Below are 24,292 nucleotides of genomic sequence, written 5' to 3' on the forward strand. Positions count from 1 at the left end.
GCAGCTATCTCTTTAGGAACAAAAGGAAGGCAGTTTTTTTTGCATGATTCAGTTCCCAAGCTTAGCTTTTCCCTTTGGAGTAGTGAGTTTGGGGGTCCCGAGATTTTATTTTCCTTTTACAGTATTAACTAACACATGGCTCCCTTTTCTCTTGATAATTTTCATTCTACGGTGGAATTAGGGCCTCATTCTTTGCCACACTGAAAATGTGATTGATCTTTGAAGATTATCCAGAATTACATAACAGTCAAGTGACAGATGTTATTGGAAGCTGATCCTCATTCAGTGTTACTGTACTAAATGAATGAATACTGAAATTAGACTGATATCTATTTTTAAATCTTTATAAATTTAATTTTTTTTTCTTTTTTAAAAGTTAGTGTTTAACAACTTTCTTAGCTTGATTATGACTGCCAGGCGTGGTGGCTCACGCCTGTAATTCCAGCACCTTGGGAGGCCGAGGCGGGTGGATCACCTGAGGTCAGGAGTTCAAGACCAGCCTGACCAACATGGAGAAACCCTGTCTCTACTAAAAATACAAATTTAGCCAGGGTGGTGGCACATGCCTGTAATCCCAGCTACTTGGGAGGCTGAGGCAGGAGAATTGCTTGAACCTGGGAGGCAGAGGTTGCGGTGAGCCGAGATCGCGCCATTGCATTCCAGCCTAGGCAAAAAGAGCGAAACTCCATCCCAAAAATAAATAAATAAACAGCATGGCCATAAAATTTATTGTTTGAACAGGAATACATTTGAGAGTGAAAGAGGGCCCTATTAATAATTTTGCTGCAAAAAGATGTAAACTGGGGCTGTTCCAAGCAAACTAATTGGTCACAGTAATTAAAAAAAATGCAAAAATATTTTTGCATTTCTACAAATTTGATTTTCTTGGCTTTAACTTTGTACTGTGGAGTCAAGGTTCTGTCAATATTTCTTTCCATTTAGCTGGAGAAATAATAAGAGGGAACTGTTTTATTACTAAGTTACTTTTCAGAAGAGAAATAAAATAAAAAGTAAAGAAATAAAAATTTAAAACTAGGACATTTTCTTTTTCTTTTTTCTTTTCTTTTCTTTTCTTTTTTTTTTTTTTTTTTTTAGAGATACAGGGTGTTGCTCTGTCTCCCAGGCTGACACTGCAGCCTCAAATTCCTCTGCTCAATCGATGCTCCTGCCTCAGGCTCCCCAAAAAACTCGTTTTATATTTGTTTATTTTTATTCCAGACTATTGTCTGTATTTTGGTGACATGAGGAGGATCAGACATAATTCTAAATGAGTTCAGAGAATTCTTAATTTCCATTCCTAACTGGTTAATCTCTTTTGTTTTTGAAGCAAATTATATGTTTAAATGCTCTGCCTGAGAAGTATTCTGGTTTATTGAATTAAAATCATTTTAAGAATTTTTTTTTCGGATAAAATGTGAAGACTCAAAGATAAGGATACATTCAGTCCAGTATTTGCCCTTGCTCAAGGAGAAATGCTGTTTTAAAGTCAAAGTGAAAATTTTCTTCCAAAACTTCTGATTATTGTTTTTGTCTATGGAAAAATAGAAACTTGGGGCAAAGTGTAAGGACTGATGCTGTTGCAAGTCTGTTAGTGCACACTTATGCACACAGGCCAGAACAGGTCCGGAAGGACATACACTTAGAGGTTAGCAATTTTCTTTTTTTTGCAAGTCTGTATTTTCAAAGAATTAAGATTTTAATTTTTTGCTTGTCTGGTTGGAATGTTCAGTTTCCTAAACATCTCCTGGGGAGTGAGTACGTCTGCACTTCAGGAAGTGCTCTTGTCCGGAGGGCAAAAGGTTGGGGGCGCATCCCCGGGTCGCGGCTCCTCCAGGAAACTTTCCCTTGGGGATCCGTCAGGGCCTCAGATGCCTCAGTGGATGACAGGGTGAAGATGCCATCGCTCAGTCAAGTCCAGAAGTTCAAGAACTCCTTGCAGGTGAAGCAGTCACAGGATAGGGTGGGATCTTGTGGGAACCTAGCAGTAGGAATTGGCGCGAGCAGCTCGGTCACCGGCCCTACTGTCTCAGAGGGCGGACCCAGCTCGGGCTGGTAGTGGGGCGGGGGTCGCAGGGCGCGGGCCGGGCCCTCAGCGCGCATGCGCGACAAGGGGGCGGGGCCAGGGCGGGGCTGCGCCCGGCGTCTAGAGCGGCGGCGGCTGGCTAGGGCTGCGGCGCGCGTGGAGGGTTCGCTGCTGGTTTGCCGCCGGGTCGGGCTCCGTGGGCCGGGGCAGGAGGACCAGCACCTGAGGCCGGGCCCGCAGCCCGCGACTTCACAGCCAGGCGGCGGCGCTGCTGCTGCTGCGGGGCTCTGGCGCGCAGCCCGGCGGGACAGCGGGGCGGCTGGCGCCGGGGGCCGGGGAGCGCCAGGTAGGTGGGCCGGGCCGGGCAGGAGGCGACGCGGCCGCCGCGGGGGCCGGGGCCGGGGACGGACAGCGGGCGCGGGGGCGCGTCCAGGTCCCCGCTGGGGCGGATGTGGACGGCGCCCGCGGTTTTCATGGAAATTGCACTGCCTAACGGTGCCAGTGGTCCACCTGCGGTGGCGTCTTTTGAGAACAATCCGAGCCCGGCCGACCCCCAGCCCCGTGAAGACGCGGCCGCCCCAGCAGGGAGCCGGGTGCCGAGCGGGCGCGTGGCCGCGGGACGCAGACGCGGTGCCTGCCCGATGCGGCTCCAGGGCTGGGTCTACGGGCTCCTGAAGCTGGAGGCCTTGCCGTGTTTGGGGTGGAAACATAACCGGGTGAAAGTAAACATGCATCTCCGTGTGGGAAATCTGGTCTCCATCCTCGAAACTCTTCCATTTTCTGCCTGCCTTTAGACCCCGACAACATTTCTAGCATCTTTGCTTTCTATATTTTATTTCTCTCTGGCTTTGCTAGTCAATTAATTGAGGCCTGAGAAATGTGCAGGGATCTGTGGCTGTCTCTTGAAAAGCCAGCCAGGAATGGGTAGGCCCCAGAAGACAGACGTTCAAAATGTCAGAGGTAAATTTGTGTCTTTGTGGGCGAAGGAAGGGAATGTTGATGGTCTCGCTTCCCTTCCCCTGTCGCCTGCCCTCTGACATTACATAATGATGGGTTCTTCCTGCCCCGAGTTCATCCGTAATGACAGACCATGAAAATGTTCCTCTGGGTAAGAAAGACCTATATGTGGTAGAGCCCATCTTCTCTTTTGCTTTGCCACTGAATGTGTCTTGTGTTGGGAACCTGCCTAAGAGTGGAATTTGATTTGTCGCCTGCCCCTCAGGGCATTTAAACCAAGGGAATGGGGGTGGGGTGGCGATTTGGGTGTTGCAGAGAAATTCTGACTGGTCCATCTGTTCACAGTGGGTTGTGTGGACCATGGGGAAGCCAGTGGGGTTGAGGACAGAGTGGGTTGACTTCGGTGTGAATCATGGTTCTGCCGCTTGCTGACTCTGGTTCTTATCTCTAAAAGGTGAGAGCAGAGCCTTTTTTGCTGAGTTTGTTTTGGAATCTAGCTGCTGTTGGCGTTGGCCAGTGCACGTAGAATTGCTTGCTATAGGTTGTCCTAGAATTGAGCCTAATTTTTCTTTGGTTGAAAAACACACTTTCTTTAACGGAAATTTTGTTTTTGGATCTAGGCTAGGGCATTTGTTTTGGGGGTTCTTTGCTGAAGTGTCGACTGCTAATGTACTGTTTTCTTTGAAGAAAGATGAATGATGGGGCCCATGTAAGAAGGGCAGTGTGGTTGGTCTGTTGCAGGAGTGGTGCCAGGAGGCCGTGATGCTGTCTGTCCCAGGGGTGGCGTTGCATGTGAACGGGCCTCTCGGTGCCTCATTCCCTGTGATGTCTAGTAAACACGCCTGTGAAGCCAGAGCTGCTTGGTAGAGTTTGGCTTGAAGAAAAGGCTTAAAGAAATGGATGTGGACAAATTCAAAGAGAAAGAAACATTGTGTTTCTACTGAGCTCCTTATAGAATTAGTCTGCTTACCTGGCCACCTTACTCATCATGTAGCTACTTTTTTCATTTAGATTATTCTGTCTCAGGGTGTTTAATCTGCTTGGGTAAGTCTTGTTTCCCAACTAGATTCAGAACCAAGGGCAGATATTATAGTGCCTCCCTGTTTTCAAAACTGGATATTTTGTAGTATTGCTGTTAAACTGAATATTAGCGTTTTTTAAAAAAAAATCACTTTAAGGAAGGATGAAATAAAATAATACACGAGAGCTATTTGTAAACTGTAGAGCACTAGAAAAATGGGATGTGTATGACAGAGAACTATCAGCCCTGCAAGTCCCTTTAACCAGCTGCCTGCCTAAGAGGGAGCGTTCTCAGCCAACATCTCTTCAAATGCACACGGGAATGGACCTGAAGGCGGTGTGGGACCGACTGCCCCACTGATCCCCAGCCCAGGGCTTAACATCTCAAGAGTTCAGTGAGGCAGAGTGGAGGGGGAGGCTTTCCACCAAGACTGTTTCATCCTGTTTTCGTTTTTAAATGAAAAGCTCCTTTTCAGTTTAGTATTCCAGAAAAGTTGCCACAACATCATCAACTACTCATGGTGTCAGGAGGCTTTGACTTTCACTGAGAAAAAAATAGCACAAATCTGCAGCGAAAAAGGCTTGATTATGTTGGTGCTTCTGTAGAACTTGATTAATGAGCTGGTCTTGAGAGAGCCTTCGAAACGGCTTTTTTTTTCAGTGTCCTAAAACAGAAGTTCTGTGAGGAAAACATATTTTGAGGAGACCAATATTAACGCCCATGCAGGCTTGCTTCATTTTGTCTCTGTGTTTTTAAGGAAAATACCATCATGAAGCTAATCCCAGGGAATTTACCTATATTTCTATTCATATGCACATGTTATTCTCTAATTTTTTTTTTTTAGTATTTTGATATAGTTTCAGACTTACAGAAAAGTTGCAAGAATAAGCCAAAGGTTTCTCAGATTCTCCAAATGTGGACATTCTGTTACACTGCTTTATCATTCTCTTGTATTCCTGTGTGTTACTACTTTTTCCTGAACTGCTTAATAGTAAGTTGCAGGCTTGAGGCCCTTTTACCTCTAAATACTTCACTGTGTATTTCCCAAAAAACAAGGATATTCATAACAGCAGTAATCCCCGCACTTTGGGAGGCCGAGGCGGGCGGATCACAAGATCAGGAGATCGAGACCATCCTGGCTAACACGGTGAAACCCTATCTCTACTAAAAATACAAAAAATTAGCCGGGCTTAGTGGTGGGCGCCTGTAGTCCCAGCTGCTTGGGAGGCTGAGGCAGGAGAATGGCGTGAACCTGGGAGGCGGATCTTGCAGTGAGCAGAGATCGCACCACTGCACTCCAGCCTGGAGGACAGAGTGAGACTCTGTCTCAAAAAAAAAAAAAAAAAAAAAAATCATGGCCGGGCGCAGTGGCTCATGCCTATAATCCCAGCAATTTGGGAGGCTGAGGTGGGAGGATCACTTGAGTCCAGGAGTTTGAGACCAGCCTGGCCAACATGATGAAATACTGTCTCTACTAAAAATACAAAAATTAGCTGGGTATAGTGGCGTGTGCTCGTAGTCCGAGCTACTTGGGAGGCTAAGGCATGAGAATCTCTTGAACTCAGGAGGTGGAGGTTGCAGTGAGCCGAGATCACACCACTGCACTCTAGCCTAGGCAGCAGAGTGAGACTGTCTCAAAAAAAAAAAAAAAAAAAAATCATGAAATTAATGTTGATATAACACTATTTAGTGTACAGGTCGTATTTAGATTTTGTCAATTGCTTCGATAATGTCCTTTATAGCAAAAGAAAATCCTAGATCATCTGTTTTGCATTAAGTTTTTCTGTCTCTGTAGTGTCCTTTAATCTGAAAGTTACCACGTCTTTCTTTTGTATTTCACGACATAGACATATTTGAAGACTACTGACTTTTTAAGATAATGCCCTCAATTGGGTTTCCTGTGGTTTCATGATTAGATTCAGGTTATGCACTTCTGGCGGGAGTAGCACAAGGTTGAAGCAGTTGTAGTCTTCTTTTCTCTCTCTCTCTCTCTTTTTTTTTTTTTTTTTTTAAAGAGACAAGGTCTCCCTTCGTTGGAGTGCAGTGGTGCCATGGCAGCTCACTACAGCTTGGACCTACTCCACTCAGTGATCCTTCTGCTTTAGCCTCCTGAGTAGCTGGACTATAGGTGTGTGCCATTGCACCTGGCCAATTTTTAAATATTTTATAGGGGCTGGATCTCACACTGTGTTGCCCAGGCTGGTCTCAGACTCCTACTCTCGCCATCCTCCTGCGTTGGCCGACCACAGTGCTGAGTTTACAGGCGTGAGCCACTGTGCCCGAATAATGCTGCAGCCTTCTTAATGTATCCCATCAGGAGGCATATGCTGTGATTATCCCATTCTCTGGCCCTGCTAACTTTGATCACTTGAATTAAGGTGGTGTCTATCTCATGGAAAAGTTACCATTTTTCCCTTTGTAGTTAATCTGTGTCTTAAAGGAAGAGAATTTGAGACTATGTAAATATAGTTACTGCTCATACAATTAACTGACTAGTTTCAGAATTCATTGATGTTTCTTACCTGAGTCAATTATTATGATAGTAGGCAGATGATGATTTTCATGGTTCCTTCTATATTTATTAGTTGGAACTGTACTGAAAGGAAGAAACCTTCCTTTCTCTATTATTTACTTTTTGATTTACATCACTGGACTCATGAATTCTTGCTTTATTCAATAGATTATAGTCCATTACTCCCATTATGCATTTTGTTGCTCAAATTATCCTAGATTTGGCCAGTGGGAGTCCCTTCAGTCTGGCTTTTGTGTCCTTTTGACAAGTGCTCATCATTCTTTGAGGACTTTTCTTCCAGGCACAAAATCTTCAAGGACTCAGCTTATACTTTCCTTGTCCCAGCCCTGGAATCAGCCATTTCTCCAAAGAGTCCTGGTTTCCTTTAGTGGAGAGTGGTATAAAAACCGAGATGTAGGCACTATGTATTCTCGTTGCTACTGAGGTGTCACCCATTCTAGACCTTCTCAGGGGATAGATGCTCTCATTGTAAACATAAATGTAGTCACATTACACAAAATTTTCTGTGGCTTGCTTTTTAAATTTGTACTCCTTCCATTAGGCTTTGAAACTGTCTGTTTCCCTTTAACTTGGCCAACATTTAAGAGAATAAATCTTGTTAATTTTGCCAATCTAATGGGCAAGGAAGACATTATTGTTTTAATTGCATTTCCCAAATTACCAAAAATATTGGATACCTTTTCTTGTTAATGTATATTTTAACTTCTAATGAATTACCTGTTTATATCCTTTGTTCATTTTTTCTTGTTGGGCTGTTTTTCCTTATCTTACTAGATTGTGGAAGTTACGGTAACTTTGAATTTTATTCTTGGCAGCTTTAGAATGTTTTTTTAAGTGTGATGCTTTTTTAATTTTTTTTTAAAGTCCTAAATGACAAGGAACCCAAGCTTTTCTGAGTACCCCCTGCATGCCAGGCCTCCCTGGACATCCTGTGGGAGGTTCTGTCCAAAGGTGAGCTGTGGTGTTGAGGAGTGGTTAGAGCATCCCCCGAGGGTAGTTAAAAGAGGCTCAACTGGGACTAAAACCCAGTTATATCACCTAACTTCCTTCACAGGATTGAAAAATGAAAGCTTTTCAATGAGGGATAAAAATTGATTACCTGGATTTGCCAGTATCAACAATTTCTGTTTTCAGTATTTTGGTTTATAAATCAGGAATTTCTTTTACACAGTCCTTTTTGCTGAGCATACACATCTTTCGAAACCATTTATTTTATCCCTAGAACTATTGTGGACTCTGGTGCTGCACTTTCTGTGAGCATCCAGCTAGCTGTGTGACTTTGGGCAAGTGGCTTAATCTTTCTGTGCCTCAGTTATTTCATCCACAAAACTGGGCTGCTGGTAGTAGCAGCCCCAGAGGCTTGTTGGGGGATTAAATGAATTAACATTTAATCCTGGTGCCTAGTAAGTGTGCAGAACGGAAGCATTACAATGGATTCGTATACAGAGTGTGGGTGGTTGGCAGAGCTTGGAATTAGATCAGCCTTTCCTCTGTGGATTTAATCTCTTAGTTGTCTCTTTCTGTTTTTTTTGAGATGGAGTCTCACTCTGTCGCCTAGGCTAGAGTGCAGTGGCTCTAGCCTGCAACCTCGGCTCACTGCAACCTCCGCCCCCTGGGTTCAAGCAGTACTCCTGCCTCACCCTCCCTAGTAGCTGAGATTACAGGCATATACCACCATGCCTGGCTAATTTTGTATTTTTAGTAGAGACGGGGTTTCACCATGTTGGCCAGGCTGTTCTTGAACTCCTCACCTCAGGTGATCCACCCACCTCTGCCCCCCAAAGTGCTGGGATTACAGGCATGAGCCACTGCACCCGGCCTTAGCTGTCCCTTTCACCATAGCCTGTCTGGGATTGGAAAGCCAGGGTCCTGGGTGCAGTGTGCATGTCTCTTTCTGGTCTTTGCACATACCTTTGTCATGCCCTATCAGGCTGTCAGGCCCAGGCCTGCCAGCCAGCCAGCCCAGCTGGCCTCTGGTGTTTGCCCACAGCCCTAACCTGGAGCATGGGTGAGACTGCTGGCCTTTTAATATGAAACTTGTTCAGTGAGGCTCACCTGGCGAGGGACTTAGGCACAGTAAGCAGATGTATATGGTGGGGGCAGTGGGGGGATCATGCTCTGGTGAGGTCTATTTTCTGGAATAGGGTCAGGAAGACAGGGATGTCCTCTGATGTCCAGGAAGAAGGGTGGGGACCTCTGAAAGAGGAAAGTGTTTACCCGCTGCCAGCTCCGGTCCTGGGATCCTCCTAGAGCGCTTTCCCTGAGACACCTGGTAGTTTTCCTGACCTCCGGTTGCTGCAGCGCCCCTCTTTTTGCACCTCACTAGGTGGTATTCTGATGTCTCCTGAAAACCCCCTGCCCCTTTCCTGCCCCTCCCATAGCCCTCACGCAGGTGGTGTCAGCTGCTGTTATGGAAGCTGTCTATTATTAATTCACCCTAGCATATTGAACGCCCTTCTTTCCCTCTCTCATGTTGCTTGCATCTCTAAAGGGTGTATTCTCAAACCAATTAATTTGAATTTTCAAGAAGGATGACCTAAGTGTATAAACTCTGGAAATGTGAAGGAAGTATTTAGGCAGATGGTTGTTTCTGGGAAACAGGGCTCTACTAGGAAACAAGGATGCCCAGTTCAAGCTTCTCCCTGGATTATGGGGTGTGTCAGTTGGGATGCTTTTGGTTGCCAACAGTGACATTTATTATCTCAGAGAACTGGAGTCTCCATCAGCATGTCAGCAGTTTCATCAAGGACCTCGATTCTGCTCCTCTGTCCAGCCATCACTGCCGGTTTCATCCTAGGGGGTTAGTCTCCTCATGATTCTGAGATGGTCGTTGGGGGCAGTGGGACTGCGTGCTTCCTTGTTCCTGTCCAGCAGGAGCAGGGAAGGAGACAAAGCAGCTGATTCCCCAGCCACAGTGTCTACCAGTCCTTCCCTCTGGCCTGTGGAGCAAAGGGTCACGTGGCCTTCCCTGGACCAGCAACATGAGGCTGTGAGAGTGCTGTGTGCTGGTTGGCTTAGGCTGGTGGTCCTCCAGGTGTGGTCCTCAGACCAGTAGCATCAGCATTACCTGAGAACTTGTTAGAACTGGAGATTAGTGGATCCTACCCCACCCACTGAATCAGAAACTCTGGGATGGGGCCCAGAAAGCTGTGCTTTAAGAAGACTTCCAGGTGATTCTGATGCAAGGTCACATTGGAGAACAGCTCTTTTAGTTTAATCAAGACTCCCCTACTCCCCAGCTGGAGACAGGGCTGACTTTTCCTGAGGACCGGGGAGGAGGTTAGGTCCTAGAATAGCAAGAAGGAAGAGAGGATGGTGGGTGGCCAGCCCACAGTGTGAACTAGCCAGTGTTTACGGCCCTGGGGGCCGCTTTGCTCTCCGGAGTCCTTCCCCTGCCCCCCATTCGCCAGCTTGTCCACCCATATAAGTTTCTCAGCCCCCTTGCCTCAAGCTTCTCCAGCTCCTCCAAGCATGGCCTGTACTCTCCCTGTACAGCTCGGTGCTAAAGGAAGCAACCTCAGTAACACTCCAGCTCCAGGTCCCTCTCTGGCCTAGCAGGGATGGAGTCTACCTGGCTGGTGCTGAAGAGTCCCAAAGAGCTGTTATGACTCACCTTCTGAAGCCATTCCTGAAGTGTGTTCATTTGTGTAGGGGTTGCCTACGCTGCTACTCCTTGCTCAGCTAGGAAAAAAGAGCAGTGCAGTTAGTAGGTGCTTGAGAAATATTTAGGGAATTGGCCTGGAGACAGCCCAAGTGACTACTTTCAGTGGTGATTTTTACCTGTGTTATGTCCCCTTTTTTGCAAGTACAACTCCAACTTGATGTTTGGGTGAAATAAATAGCCACCTCCACGGTGTAATTTGTGAGATCACAATGACCCACTTTTCCGAATTTTTCCTGAAACTAAAGAGTTGAGATATTTCTGGGTTTTCAGCTTTAAAGATTCATCTTAATACATAAAAATAACGTTTAGGAGTAGTCTTGCACTGAGCTCTAACCACATTAGCACTAATTATTGCGGAAGGAAGGGCACCTGAGGAGGAAACATGCTAGAGAAGGGTCCACACAGCATGTTTCAAAATGCAGTGGTTCATGAAATCAATTTGAGGTTGTAACTGGCATTAAAAAGCTTTTTGAAATAGCAAATATCCAAGTACGTTTCCTATGGGAAGGATAAGCATTTTTTGGTAAAACATCTAGTTATTCACATGTAGTGTATTTGGGGTGTTGTTATGGTGTGACTGTTTCTTAGAGTGGATTTTGGTAAAGATGTGTCAAACCCTAGGGCTGAGTGCAGGGGGTCCTAACCTGTAGGAAGGTGGGGCCTACGCTGGATGTGTATACACTTGGGGTCTTTTCCTGGGCGTGCGACCTGTGACTTTTGTCAGAACCTGGTGGTCTGTGACTCGCCATAGATCAAGAACCAATGACCTAAAACCAGAGGAGACTTTCAGTGGTGAGGGCCAGTGGGAGTGGAGCTGGGGGCGTGAGGAGCAGGCACAAAGTCCTGAGCCTGGTCCTGCTCTGGCGTATTGTTCGTGGTAGTAAGCCATCTGAGCCAAATCCTCCTGATGAGGAGTCCTCTGCACAGCCACACTGACAGACAGGAGAGACAGTGGCAGGCAGTGTGTTGATCACCTGAGGTCGGGGGTTCAAGACCATCCTGGCCAACGTAGTGAAAACCCGTCTCTACTAAAAATACAAAAATTAGCTGGGTGTGGTGGTGCACACCTGTAATCCCAGCTACTTGGGAGGCTGAGGCAGGAGAATCGCTTGAACCCAGGAGGTGGAGGTTGCAGTGAGCCGAGATCACATCACTGCACTCCAGCCTGGGTGACAGGGCAAAACTCCCTCTCAAAAAAAAATTTAACTCTGGATGCCAGATGGGTCCTTTACCTAACAGGTGGATCAGCATATTTCTACATAAGAGAGAGAGAGAGAGTCTCCTTGTTTGGGGCTGGCCCCAGTGAAAGCATTGCTGCTTTTGACTCCCCGCTGGAATCCTCTGTGCCTTAACACTGTCAGGACAGTTCCCAAGGCTGGCTTAGAGTCAGCTATGATCCCCATTATTTAATGCAGGCGCTAGTCTGGTTTGTATCACAAAGCTTATGTAGTAGTGGCTTTGGCATGTCTGTGTTTGTTTTTTGGGGGTAGGGGCAAGTTGGATTGTAGTGCTGGATGTGAACCCAAGTCAGCTTTCTCATCTGTAAAATGGGGAAGGTGCTAGGCTCACAGGAGGGTGGTGGGGATTGATAATATACATAGGAGAGGGCTGTGAACTGCAGTGCACTGGACCGGTGCAAACATGAATGTTTCGACCCCTGCTCCACTTGACAGTCTTGGTAACTGTTTTCCCCACAGTACTCTTATTTTTCACATGTGCTCAAAGGGCTGGAGTACACCCTATTGTTGACTCCTGCTCAGGGTACCTTCCAGGGGAAATATCACAGAAGAGGGAGGTGCTGAGAGGCAGGGACATCCAGCGAAGTTGAGAGGAGAAGGATGTGGGCGGGGGGTGGGAGGAGGAAGTGGAGGGCTTGCACTCTGTAAACTCTTAGTCAGCTGGTCACTGACCCAACTGAGCCTTTTACTGACACTGTTTTTTTAAAGAATGGAAGGACTAAGGATTGTATGAGCTGAAATGTTGAGTATTTTCACATTTCTTATTCATTCTTCGTGCTCTGTGTATACAAATGTTAAATGATCACATTACATAATTGGGTGATACTCAAATGGCAATACAGTGGTATGTTTGACAGAACCCAATGTTTTAAAATAGGGCTAGGTGCCAAGAAATGTCAGGATAGGCTGAGTAAGGTGACTCAGGCCAGTGATCCCAGCACTTTGGGAGGCCAAGGCAGGAGGATCTCTTGAGCCCAGGAGTTCAGACCGGCCTGAGCAACAAAGCAAGACCTTGTCTCTACTAAAAATTAAAAAATTAGCCAGGTATAGTAGTGCACACCTATATTCCCAGCTTCTTGGGAGGCTGAGGCGGGAGGATCACTTGAATCCAGGAGGTCGAGGCTGCAGTGAGCTATGATCGCACCAGTGCACTCCAACCTGGGTGACAGAGTGAGACCCTGTCTCTACAAAAAAAGAAAAAAAAAAGATACCCCAGAATCTTCCAAATATTGTCATTCCTATGGTTTGGAAGAGGGGAGTGAGTAAATGGATTGGCCTTAGGGACGACACCTTGCTGGTAGACTGTGCCCACCTCAGGTAGAAGGGAAGCGCTAGCAGTCTCATTTGTGGTTTGTCCCCAACTTGCCAGTGACTTGGTGAAGTCATGCCTGAATCTCACCCTCCTCCTTTCTTGTTCATCTAGTGAAGGTGATTTCCTTTGTTCCTCCCCCGTCGAATCCTCCCTGACAGTGGAATGGAGTGGTGATAGTGCCCAGGGGCTACATGGGTGAAGTGTGGTATGTTCTTGATTTAGTTGGCATTGGACTAAGACACACACACACATACAAGTGTCTATTTAGGGAAGTTGTTCTTTGGTCTGTTGCCTTGGAAATACTGCCTTTTTATTCTTTCACTTTCTCTCCCCTCTGCAGTGATTCAGCAGTAGCTTTCTAGAGAAGAAGAAACATAGTGTCAGAGACCCTGGAGTACCAAGGATATGTCAGTGGAGAGGGAAGCTGCCTGTGTGTCACACAGACCACATTCTTCCTGGTCCAGCTAGAGCGTCCCGTGCCTTTCCTTGGCTTTTCCAGCCTCTCTCCATCACTCCTTCTGAGGCCCTTTGCAGACAGTCCCCCAGTACAACTACAGCATTTTTGTAAGTCCAGCCCTTGTCATTTTCCCATTGACTGATGGAGACCACTTGACTCCAGCATACTTTATGCACACTTATCTTCTGGTTCAGGTCTGGACTGTCTTTCTCTTTCTGGCAGCTTTCTTTCCTGTTAGCCATTCCTGACTTGTTTCAAAAAGGATACATGGACTTGAAATTACCAGTTAAAGCAGAAAATGATTAAAAAGAAAAAAAGGGCTTCAAATGTCAAATGGATACAACTATATAAGTTGTAGAAGGTGCTCTGAACACGTTACAGGGAGGTTGCCATTGCTAAAAGCTTTTACATTTTTTATTTATTTATTTTTAGAGACAGAGTCTTGCTGTGTTGCCCAGGCTGGAGTGCAGTGGTGTGATCATAGCTCACTGTAGCCTTGACCTCCTGGGCTCAAGCATCCTCCTGCCTCAGCCTCCCAAGTAGCAATGACTGCATGCGTGTGCCACCACACTTGGCTAATTTTTAATTTTAATTTTTTCTAGAGACTGGGTCTTGTTGTGTTGCTCAGGCTGGTCTTGAACTCCGGGCATCAAGCAATCCTCCTGCCTCAGCCTCCCAAATTGCTGGGATTACAGGGCATGAGCCACTGTACCCAGCTACTTTTACGTTTTTCATTCTCACCCCTTTCTTCTGGAAACACTGCAGAGACCATGAGAACAGGAGCTTGTCTTACTTGATAGTGCAAACAGTCTTACAAATAGTGTTCAACCATCGATTGCCCAAAACACGTGTTTTGTGACTATTATTGTAGGTGCCTTTGAACTGTATGGTGTGTTAAATAACTCCATTGGAGGGAGGAAGATCTTTGTGTTTTGAGTTGATTATTTAATTATTCTTTAATTAGTCTAATGTCTTTACCAAGCTAGATATTAATATCTTTTGTCAAAGAGAGAAGAAAGCCAGTGGATGGGTTGTGAAGTGGTGAGGGGCCACTTCACAAATGGTGAGTGGGTGGGTTTTTATTTCCAGCAGTGTCACTGGAAACAACTTTGTACCAACTTGCATGGTAAGGAGCATTCAGGTTTTAAAGTTAATCTCATTCAGTTTCTCCTGTGGGACAACATTGGCCTTTCTCATTGGGGATTTGACTGTTGGGCCTTGTCCCTGGGTATGTCCCAGCCCAGACACTCAGGGCACTGGCCACCCTGCCTCAGCCCCTCTGGAGCAAAGAGAGTTTTAAGCAGTAGTGGATGTAACTCATTTAAAATAGGATTAGATCTAGCTGGGTTAGCTTAGTGGCATGCACCTGGTGAGGCTGTATTCTCTAGCTACTTGGGAGACCGAGGCAGGAGGATTGCATGAGCCCAGGAGTTTGATACCAGCCTGGTCGGTATAGTGAGACCAGCCTGTCTCAAACAAACAAACAAAAACAGGATTACATGAGCTATGACTAAATTCCAGGGCAGTAACTGCTGTGTCATTCTTTGGGAACTGGTCATCCCAGGATTTGATCAGTGTTTCATATCATAGGTTGGCTGTTTTGTAAACTATTAGGATTGTACCAGTGTTTGTCATGGGAACTAGCAGCCTGTGACGTAGACTGTGAACCTAACTTAATTGACTACTGTAATGAATACAAACAGTTGCTATTTTTACCTCAGAACGTAGATTTGTCTGCAAATTAAACATTTGAGACAATAAACAGGAGTTTGGTTTATTAAAGCTGTTTGAGCTTGCTACTTAGGCAGGCCTAGAAATAGGATTGGCTAGCTTTTTCTGATTATGTAGATGTTGACTATATTAGGGAGAAACTCTTATTTTTGTTTTATTTTATTTTAGAGACGGGGTCTCGCTCTGTTGCCCAGGCTATAGTGTAGTAGACAGCCATAGCTCGCTGCAGCCTCAAACTCTAGGGCTCAAGCAGTTCTCCCACCTCAGCCTCCCAATTAGCAAGGACTACAGGCATATGCCACTGTGCCCAGCTAATTAAACAAAAATTTTTTTTTTTTTTTTTTTTTGTTTAAATGAGGTCTTGTTATGTTGCCCAGGCTGGTCTGGAACTCCTGGCCTCAAATGATCCTCCTGCCTTAACCTCCGAAAGTGCTTGGATTGCAAGCATGAGCCATCACACCCTGCCTAACTTAACGTTTAAACAAGGCTTGAGCCTGGGCAAAATAGTGAAACTTCATCTTTACTAAAAATTAAAAAATTAGCTGGGCATGGTGGTGCACACACATCTGTAGTCCCAGCTGCTCAGGAGGCTGAGGCAGGAGGATAGCTTCAGCCCAGGAGTTCAAAGTTGCAGTGAGCTATGATTGTACCGCTGCACTCCAGTCTTGGTGACAGGGGCTTGCCTCTGCCTCAGAAAAAAAAAATCATCAAATAGCCCTTTCTCACCTTCTCTACCCTGGGAGTGGCTACGGATAGGCAGCAACTGAACACAACACGTTTCCTGGTACCCAAGATGAATCATTGCTGCCTGTGATGCCTGAGCCTAGTGATTATCTTCCAGATTGTTTTGCTAGCCAGTTCTTTCTCCATAAAAACATTCAGATTTTTTTTCCTCTTTGAGAGTGGAGTATTTTACTTGAGGGAGCTGACCACCGAACTTCATAGAAATGCCTTCCTGCCCCTTCATGGCTGTGCTGTTCTGTGTGTTTTTTGGGGCTTGCTTTCCCATTCTGCTGGTATCCTGGGTGAGACTCTGGCCCAATGAATGGGATGCTGCACATTTTTTTTCCAGGAGAAACAAAAGGTGTTGGGACCCCTAAGTATGCAGCATGTATGCAGAGAGTGAGGCATGGCCAGGGGGGATGTGGCTCTGATTTCCACATTGCATCTCCAGACCTTAAGCGGGTAGGCAGCATCGGCGGATCATGGCAGGGAGAGAAGTACAGCGGAGGCGAAGTTCTCAAAGCATGGCTGACTGTGGAAGGTGGCTCTCAGCACACTCTTTGTGGCCCGCTAACACCCGTCAGGATGGTAGCCACCACACGCCCAAAGGCACCCGAAGTGCTTGATTTTGACTGACTTTTACCACATTTGCCACCAGTGTGATTGGAGCATTCATGGAGCACAGAATATGACACCAAGTCAGGATTGCATAGTGCTCAGGCAGAGCTTTGTCCTTCGGAAATGCCGCTCACTCATGAGACAAGATGGATAGTTCAGGTCTGGACTGGCCCAGGAGTGGGAGTGACACTGAGTAGACCTCGGCCAGGGGCTTGCCCCTAAACCAGTGGTCCCTGCACCTGGGAAAATCAGCACTCTGATTGCCTCACCTGGTTTCCCGCCCACTCCTCCCTACCCTGGTTGAGTGGCCTAAGGGAGGGTAGAGTTCAGGGAGCTATTAGGAGGAAGGGGGTCGCTGCTGAGTAGCCAAAAGGAAAAACAACATGAAAGTAAGAAAGTCTACCAGGACACCCTGGAGGGCTGGCGTGCAGAGTGCTGAGGGGGACACCTGTGTCCGTGTTTGGGAGGCCCTCTTACCCTCTCCTCCTTGGTGTGCAACTGGTTAATAGTAATTCCTTGAGGGTCTGGAGAAGTTGCTCAAGTGTTAGATTCTACTTTACTGCATGCTACAGGGGCATTGTGTCCCACAATGGCATTCACAGTGTGAAGATTGCCAGAGTTCTCTATGGACACACCCTGCGAACATCATGGATCTGGGCTGTCATAAGACTTAAGCATCCTTCAGGGCAGGGACAATAGCTTGGTTTTCTTTGTAGGTCCAGAGTGCCCCACTGTGCCTGGCACAAAATAGGCATATAATCAATGTTTGTTGAGTGAACGAATGAATAAAGCTAGTCTGTCCTTGTCAAAGTAGCAAGAAAAGCCTCAGCCTCTCTTGGGAAGACAGCCTGCTTCCCTGAGGTCAAGTTGAGGTTCAGTCTAACTGAGGAGAAGGAGGGGAGACCAGAATCCACTGCACAGCTGCTGCCCCAGTAAGTTCTCAGGGAGAAACCAGAACTGTCAGTTTGCTGAGTCAAAGGCAGAAGCCTGTTCTCAGCAGTGACCTTTTTTATCCTTGGCACACAAGCCCTTTTGTCCAGGTGGCTGGAACCTAGGTCTGCTTCCACTTCTGGGTGAGAAGGTGCCACACCTTTGGGTTTGGTCATCGTGTGTGTGTGTGTGTGTGTGTGTGTGTGTGTATGTTTAAAATTAAAAGTAAAAATTTTCCCCATATACATGTACACATATATGCAAGTGTGGTATTATAGGTGCAAGGGTGCAGAGAAGCCTAGTAGGGTAGGGGCACCCAGGAAAGGTGGCCTCTTCCTCTTGTGGGTTTTGGGGAGCATCACAGGGCCTCAGGGAAGGGTGAGTTATGTGTCATGGAAGGGCAGTGGCTCAACCTGGGGGTCTTCAGAGATAAATGAGGAGGGACTGGGGCAATGCATCAGGAAGGAGGCTCAGGAGAGGCAGGGCCAGATCACCCGGGGGGCTCGAGCCCCTTCAGGCCTTTTGTAAAGTTTGGGAATTCATTCATCCCACACTGGAGGGTGTCAGACTTTTTTAAGACTCTTTCATTCTTTTTGTTTGTGTCATTACTTTAAGTGACAGAAGCAGTTCCATAGTCATTTTCATGGTTTGGGGAGACCCTTTCTTGGATCATAGTAATTCTTACAATAATGCCTGTGCTCTAACCACCAGTTTTAGGGGATTGTGGGCCGCGACTTGGCCTCCTTGTCTCCGCTCTGTGTTGGCTTTACAGTTGTGGATGCTGCGGCTCACCCAGCGCTGTGTGGCAGTGGGTCCTGCTGCAGGATGTCCACAATGCAGACCACAGGGCAGGGTGTCCCTGGCACCCATGGGGTCAGGGGTGAAGCTGTTATCTGTGAAATGACAGAAATGAAACCCAGCATTGGAGAAGAATCGTCTGCGCCCCCTCTAATCCACCTGTGAAACACTGTGCTGAAACACCATGAGGAAGAGGAAGCATTGGGGTGTAAAGAAACCCAGAAATGCTGGTTTCTAGAAATGGTATTAATTGTCTCAGGGGCTCTCCCTACAGTGTGAAATAGCTGGCTGGGCAGCTGCAGCCGGTTCCATCTTCTCCATAGCCACGCCCTTCCCGTGACCTCATGGGGTATCTGCACAGTGGGTGCAGTGCAAAAAGACACAGTCAAGCCTGTGAGCCAGTAGCTGGCGAGGGGGTGGTTTGGTAGTGAGAGATGATTACAGGGACGGGGGTTGGCTCATGGTTCTGCCACACCACCCTCCATCTCTAACTGGGACTCTGACTTGGAATATAGACTTCACTATGCCACATGATGTAGTGACATGGCAGAGGAGGCAAACAGAGTGGAAGGAGACAAGTCAGAGAAGAAGGAAGTGAAGGGCGGAGAGCAAGGGATGCTCATTGCCAAGGCCGTGGCAGTCACTGCCAGCAACAGGTGTGGGCCTAGCTTTGATTCTGTCACCTGCAGGGGTGCCTGCCCCAGAGCAGGGCTCCTTGAAATCTTCCATCCCCTTATTGGCTGTGCACTAATGTCTCTTGGAGAGACTTCTCAAAAACCTCCCTGTACTTAACTTGGTTTGACAAATTTGATAACATTTTATGTTTTAATAGGCAAACATTTTCATGGCTTAAAAATTGTAAAATATAGCAGGATATGTGGTAAAGCCTGTTTCCTACCCTATCCTCTAGCCATCCATGTCCCCTCCCTTAAGACACCAATGCCATGTGCTTGTTGGGTTTTTTTCTGAAGTTATGCTGTGTATATGCCAGCAGGCCTGCATGTGCAGACATGAGACAGTTTTCCACATCCCTGGTGCCATGCTGCGTGCTCGCTGTGTGCCTCTTCTGACGGTTTCACTGGCCCACAAGGAGTTTTGTGTTCCATTGTCCAGCTGCATGCTGGCCTGCTGCCAGGCTGTGCTGCAGATTCTTCAACCAGTGCTCTCTGGATGCCTGTTAGCTTCTTTCCAGCCTGTGCTTCACACTAATACGTTAGTTTTGTGAAGGAAGCTGCACCCCCCTTGCTCTGAGGTCTGGGCCTAGGCTCTGGCTGGATTGAGCATCATTCTAGCTGGAAAAAGAGGGTGGGGTTAGACGACGTGTTTAAGCTTCTGCCCGTTTATTTCAATTATGACCTGGCCTGTAGGGTTTTCTTTGGGAAATGGGCAGTTAATGGTTAGATACTATTTGTAAGGCACATGTCTCTAAAATATTACCTTCTAGTGGCCAGGCGTGGTGGCTCACGCCTATGATCCCAGCACTTTGGAAGGCCAAGGTGGGCGGATCATGAGGTCAGGACATCGAGACCATCCTGGCTAACACAGTGAAACCCCATCTCTACTAAAAATACAAAAAATTAGCTGGGCGTGGTGGCAGGCGCCTGTAGTCCTAGCTACTCAGGAGTCTGAGATAGGAGAATCGCTTGAACCCGGGAGGCAGAGGTTGCAGTGAGCCGAGATCGTGCCACTGCACTTTAGCCTGGGCAACAGATGGAGACTCTGTCTCAAAAATAAATAAATAAATAGATAAAAATAAAATAAAATATTACCTTCTAGTTACACACAGACCTTTTATTTTTTTAATTATTATTGTTTTTTTTTTGAGACAGGGTGTCACTCTGTCAACCAGACTGGAGTGTAGTGGCAGGATCATGGCTCACTGCAGCCTCTGCCTTCCAGGCTCAAGTGATCTTCCCACTTTAGCCTCCTGAGTAGCTGGGACTACAGGTGTATGCCACCATGCCTGGCTAATTTTTAATTTTTTTTTGTGGGTTTGGCTATGTTGCCTAGGCTGGTATTGAACTCCTGGGCTCAAGCAATCCACCTGCCTCAGCTTTTCAAAGTGCTGGGATTACTGGTGTGATCCACCATGTCCAGCCAACACACAGACATTTTATTTTTTATTTATTTTTAATTTTTAATTTTTTAAAATTTTTATTCAAGACAGAATCGTGCTCTGTTGCAATCTTGGCTCACTGCAACCTCCACCTCCCGGGTTCAAGCCATTCTCCTGCCTCAGCCTCCCAAGTGGCTGGGATTACAGGTGTGTGCCATCACATCCGGCTAATTTTTGTATTTTTAGTAGAAACGGGGTTTCACCATGTCGGCCAGGCTGGTCTTGAACTCCTGACCTCAGATGATCTGCCCGCCTCGGCCTCCGAAAGTGCTGGGATTACAGACGTGAGCCACCGCGCCCAGCCCACAGACATTTTAAACTAACCTGTAGCATCCTGAGTGAGGCTTGTCAAAGCTGCTTTTGACCCCAGTTTCAGGTACATTGGCTCTGTTGGGCTTTCCTCTGCCTGGCCTATCAAGCGGCCAACTCAAGCTGCAGGTGCAAGGGCAGATGGTTCTGCAGGGACCTTAATGACAGCCAGGCCCAGGAACACACAGTGCTTGTGTGGAAGTCTACATTTCAGCTGTGATGGTGTCTCGCTGAGGCTGGTTCTGGCCATGCCCTCCCAGCATTTCAGCTGTTCCAACCAAGGTGCTCTACATCTCAGAGGGAAGGCAACGGCCTGGGCAGCACGTTGCACGTACATTTTGGAGTCATGTTGGTTGGTGGTCTTCAGTTTCTGAATCTGTGATATGGCATGGTCATTCATCACAGGCGAGGTGATGCAAAGTTACCAACTGGGAGCACACCTGCCCCTTCTCATTCACTCACGCAGCAGGTAGTTTTCAGGCACAAAGGAATTGACTTGTGGAGCTGGCCCTGGGGTCTGTCTGTAGGAGAGCAGGAAGTAGTAGCCACCTGCGGAGGGCTCACAGGCATGTGCCTGCGAGACTGCTTACAAGCCCCTGTGCGGGATTTAGGGCAGACCAGAGCCATGAGCGTCCATGGTCAAGTGAAGGTCTGGTAGGTGTGAGCTGTTAGCCCTAGGGTCTGCTGCATGCGGTGCCAGGGGCTGAGGAATGCTGAGGCAGCTTTTCCTCCAGTCTCTGCTCGCTCCGTGCACAGCCCTTGTCTCCTGCCTGATAGTGGTCAGTAGTCAGTTGGCTTAGGGTACACGGTCTCCACCCAGTGAACCTGGCGCTGGCAGAAGCTTGTAGAAGAATGGGTGCAAAAAAGATATCTCAGAGGGCCTGCAGATGGCTGTTTTTAGGAAGTGAATAGGCTTCTTCTTTTTCTTCATTTTTTCTTTAAGATACTCTTGAGGTTTTGAGGCTCCACCCTGAGCTCTTTGTGGCTGAGGGCTGCTGTGGCTTGATGAAGGGGACAGTCTTCAAATCTTGCACAGGCTGGGGAAGGTTGGGACAGCACAGCCCTGAGTCTCGAACAAAATGGGGCAGAGGGGAGGGCAGGAGAGCCGTCAGATTCATGGGGCCACATCCTCGCAGCAACCCAGGGGAAGCTGAGGCCCCAGGGTCTGCATGATGGAGGCCGAGCACGACGGAGGAAGTGGAATTATTGCACATGGTGGGTTTCGACACTTGGGACTCGCTCCTCAAAGAGGAAAATCGAGAGTGGGGGTGCACAGAGCAAGGGCTGAAGAAACAAAAAGCAGGGGGTTTAGGGGAGAGATAAACCTCTTTGCATGAGTCAAGCTGAAAAGCAGTTTGGAAGGTCAAGTGCTAGCCAGTGTCTTTTTTTGCCTGCCCAGCCTCTTCTTCTGCCATGTCTGCCCTGACAGGGGCAGAGTTCTCAGTTCCCATGTCAGAACTCGGCACCAGCTTCTCTGTTGACAGTTGCAAGGCCTGTGGCTGAGAGAAGTACTTGTGCTGTGTTTCTGCAAGGTAAGATGGCCCTGATCACAGCTCATGATGCCTGAGATCAGGAGGGTCTGCTCCATGAGATATCAGCAGAGGCCATCCTGTGAAATATTTTAACTAATTGAACTGAATGTTGAAGACAAGGCCTGTGGCAGTGTTGTATTTATATGTGACAAGCCGAGAGTCCTTGGACAACCTTGGAAACTCCTTTTTAGGACAGAATCAACTGAGACGATACACACGAAGGAGCTTTTGTGAGCAGAGTACAGAGCTCGTTATTGCAGTACAAGGTTGTAGGTTTTCACACAGCTTTTGAGGATGGGTTGGTGGCCCAGGGAGGATGTCAGGAACTGTCCTTCACTAATGGGGATTCTCGAGTTCCTACCACGTGCCAGATAGCGTGCTGATTGCTTTGTATCCACTTCCCTTTTAATCCCTTGTATTAGCTTCCTGTGGTTGCTGTAACAAACTCGGTGGCTTAAAGCGAAAGGAACTTATTCTCTCACTGTTCTGGCCTCCAGAATCACTGGGCTGAATCAAGCTGTGGGCAAGGCCATGTTCCCTCCAGTAGCTTAGGGCGGAATCCATTCTGTGGCTGCTGGCTTGCCTCGGCTGCCGGCCCCTTCCTCATCTTCACACCAGCAGGGTAACATCTTCTCTCCGTGACTCCGCTTCTCTCTGCTTCTGTCACACGGCCCTCTCTTCTCTCCGAAATCTCCTGCCTTCATATAAGGACATTTGTGATGGCATTTGGGGCCTACCAGTGTAATCTAGGATAATCTCATCTCAAGATTCGAAACTTAATTGAGTCTGCAAATCCTTTGCTGTATAAGGTAACATTAATAGGTTCCAAGGATTTGAACGTGAACCTCTTTTGCAGGGGGCATTATTTGACCTGCCATACCTCACAGCAGCCTGATGAGGACCATACTGTCCCACATACAGTGGGCTTAATGAGGAAGCTGAGGCTTGGGGAGGCCTAGGGGTGGCCATGGTCCTTTCCTCTCCCAGACTCTGGGGTAGCTGACTCTGGGGTCATTTTGTCATGTTGCTGGGCACTCACTTGGTGAACAGATAATCCCCTGTCATTTTACTATGTTGTTACATGGGTTTGAAAAAAGAGTTTTTCAACTCTCTGGCTGAGCCCCTGTTCCTGTGAGGGCCTGTGGTTTTTCCTCCCGGCTCCACCCTGGTTTCGGCGCAGTACTTGAGCAGACGGTGGCTTGGGTCTCACTCTAGCGCCCTCCCCCTTCCTCTCTGGCTGTGTGCCCAGGCTGGCCCTGCCCACCTTGCTCAGTCTCTGCTCCATCTGCCACAAGTCTCACTCCAGCCCTCCCCCCAGTAGCTTAGGAAGGGACCTTCTTGTTACGTTTTTTGTTTTGTTTTGTTTTTTGTTTTTTTGTTTTTTTGAGATGGAGTCTCACTCTGTTGCCCAGGCTGGAATGCAGTGGCGTGATCTCTGCTCACTGCAACCTCTGTCTCCTGGATTCAAGCGATTCTCCTGCCTCAGCCTCTTGAGTAGCTGGGACTACAGGCGTACGCCACCATGCACAGCTAATTTTTGTATTTTTAATAGAGATGGGGTTTCACCATGTTGGCCAGGTTGGTCTTGAACTCTTGACCTCAAGCAATCTGCCCGCCTTGGCCTTCCAAAGTGCTGGGATTACAGGCGTGAGCCACCGTGCCCGGCCTTGTTATGTTTTTTAAGCTAACCCTGTAGAGCACTCACTGTGCACCAGCACCTGTTGGCTCAAGGGGGTGACAGACATTCCCTATCACAGATTACAATGAGTCACCGGCATTTTTGGAATTTCACTAAGCGTCGTTGCTGTGCTGTGCCTCAGCATGCAGCACTTCATTTAATCCTCTGGACACCTTGAATGATAAGTGTCTGTCATCCCATTTTACCCGTGAGAGAATTGCGGCTCAGAGAAGTTGTCACCCAGCTGGTTGGTGGCAGAGGTTTCAGAGGTCTTTCTGTGCATAAAACCCTCACTTATGGTTATGCCAGGTAGGCCTTGGAGGGGATAGACCCATCGCCAAACTCACAGGAGAGAGAGGAGGGCACTCACAGGTGATGATGTCTATCTGTCTTCTTTCTGGTGGGGACCCAGAGTTTTATTTCCATCTCGTTTTCTTTATGAATGCTTGTCTCACACTTATGTATTTTTTGGGCAGTCCCTGAATAACTACACCAGGCTTCTGAATGCCGAGTTTCTTAGAGTAGCCGGGAAAGGGCCTTTTTCTTTTCCTCTTGGATGTTCTCTTAGTCTGTTTTGTGCTGCTATAAAAGAATACCTGAGGCTGGGTAGTTTTTAAAGAAAAGAGGTTTACTTGGCTCACAATTCTGATGG

General features: G+C 47.3%; 1 protein-coding gene across 42 annotated transcripts in view, besides 8 other annotated features; it reads left to right on the forward strand.

The window, feature by feature from the left end:
- The window catches only part of INPP4A (inositol polyphosphate-4-phosphatase type I A), a 149,806-nt gene continuing 127,384 nt past the window's right edge, over positions 1,871–24,292 (forward strand). For 33 of the 42 annotated variants that reach the window (XR_922915.3, XR_007074203.1, XM_006712503.4 and 30 more), the window contains exon 1: positions 2,142–2,369. The gene's annotated coding sequence lies outside the window, so the exon portion shown is untranslated. Of the gene's footprint in view, positions 1,940–2,141; positions 2,370–3,293; positions 3,435–24,292 lie in introns of those variants that run through there. The other 9 variants (XM_047444199.1, XM_047444209.1, XM_047444204.1 and 6 more) reach the window with 2 other exon arrangements.
- Positions 1,972–2,611: a silencer, noted in NCBI's record as "silent region_11800". NCBI's record gives its function as "represses an Ori minimal core promoter by ATAC-STARR-seq in GM12878 lymphoblastoid cells {active_cell/tissue: GM12878}" and the evidence as "EXISTENCE:reporter gene assay evidence [ECO:0000049][PMID:35858748]".
- Positions 13,028–13,077: an enhancer, noted in NCBI's record as "active region_16259". NCBI's record gives its function as "activates an Ori minimal core promoter by ATAC-STARR-seq in GM12878 lymphoblastoid cells {active_cell/tissue: GM12878}" and the evidence as "EXISTENCE:reporter gene assay evidence [ECO:0000049][PMID:35858748]".
- Positions 18,005–18,064: an enhancer, noted in NCBI's record as "active region_16260". NCBI's record gives its function as "activates an Ori minimal core promoter by ATAC-STARR-seq in GM12878 lymphoblastoid cells {active_cell/tissue: GM12878}" and the evidence as "EXISTENCE:reporter gene assay evidence [ECO:0000049][PMID:35858748]".
- Positions 20,578–21,093: an enhancer, noted in NCBI's record as "NANOG-H3K27ac-H3K4me1 hESC enhancer chr2:99079757-99080272 (GRCh37/hg19 assembly coordinates)". NCBI's record gives its function as "activates a minimal SCP1, AML or CMV promoter by ChIP-STARR-seq in primed H9 embryonic stem cells {active_cell/tissue: H9 hESC(primed)}" and the evidence as "EXISTENCE:reporter gene assay evidence [ECO:0000049][PMID:30033119]".
- Positions 21,280–21,329: an enhancer, noted in NCBI's record as "active region_16261". NCBI's record gives its function as "activates an Ori minimal core promoter by ATAC-STARR-seq in GM12878 lymphoblastoid cells {active_cell/tissue: GM12878}" and the evidence as "EXISTENCE:reporter gene assay evidence [ECO:0000049][PMID:35858748]".
- Positions 22,580–22,719: an enhancer, noted in NCBI's record as "active region_16262". NCBI's record gives its function as "activates an Ori minimal core promoter by ATAC-STARR-seq in GM12878 lymphoblastoid cells {active_cell/tissue: GM12878}" and the evidence as "EXISTENCE:reporter gene assay evidence [ECO:0000049][PMID:35858748]".
- Positions 22,730–23,039: an enhancer, noted in NCBI's record as "active region_16263". NCBI's record gives its function as "activates an Ori minimal core promoter by ATAC-STARR-seq in GM12878 lymphoblastoid cells {active_cell/tissue: GM12878}" and the evidence as "EXISTENCE:reporter gene assay evidence [ECO:0000049][PMID:35858748]".
- Positions 23,138–23,702: an enhancer, noted in NCBI's record as "H3K27ac-H3K4me1 hESC enhancer chr2:99082317-99082881 (GRCh37/hg19 assembly coordinates)". NCBI's record gives its function as "activates a minimal SCP1, AML or CMV promoter by ChIP-STARR-seq in naive H9 embryonic stem cells {active_cell/tissue: H9 hESC(naive)}" and the evidence as "EXISTENCE:reporter gene assay evidence [ECO:0000049][PMID:30033119]".

Source organism: Homo sapiens, chromosome 2 (genome assembly GCF_000001405.40).
Source record: "Homo sapiens chromosome 2, GRCh38.p14 Primary Assembly".
In the NCBI taxonomy this organism is placed as follows: Eukaryota; Metazoa; Chordata; class Mammalia; order Primates; family Hominidae; genus Homo; species Homo sapiens.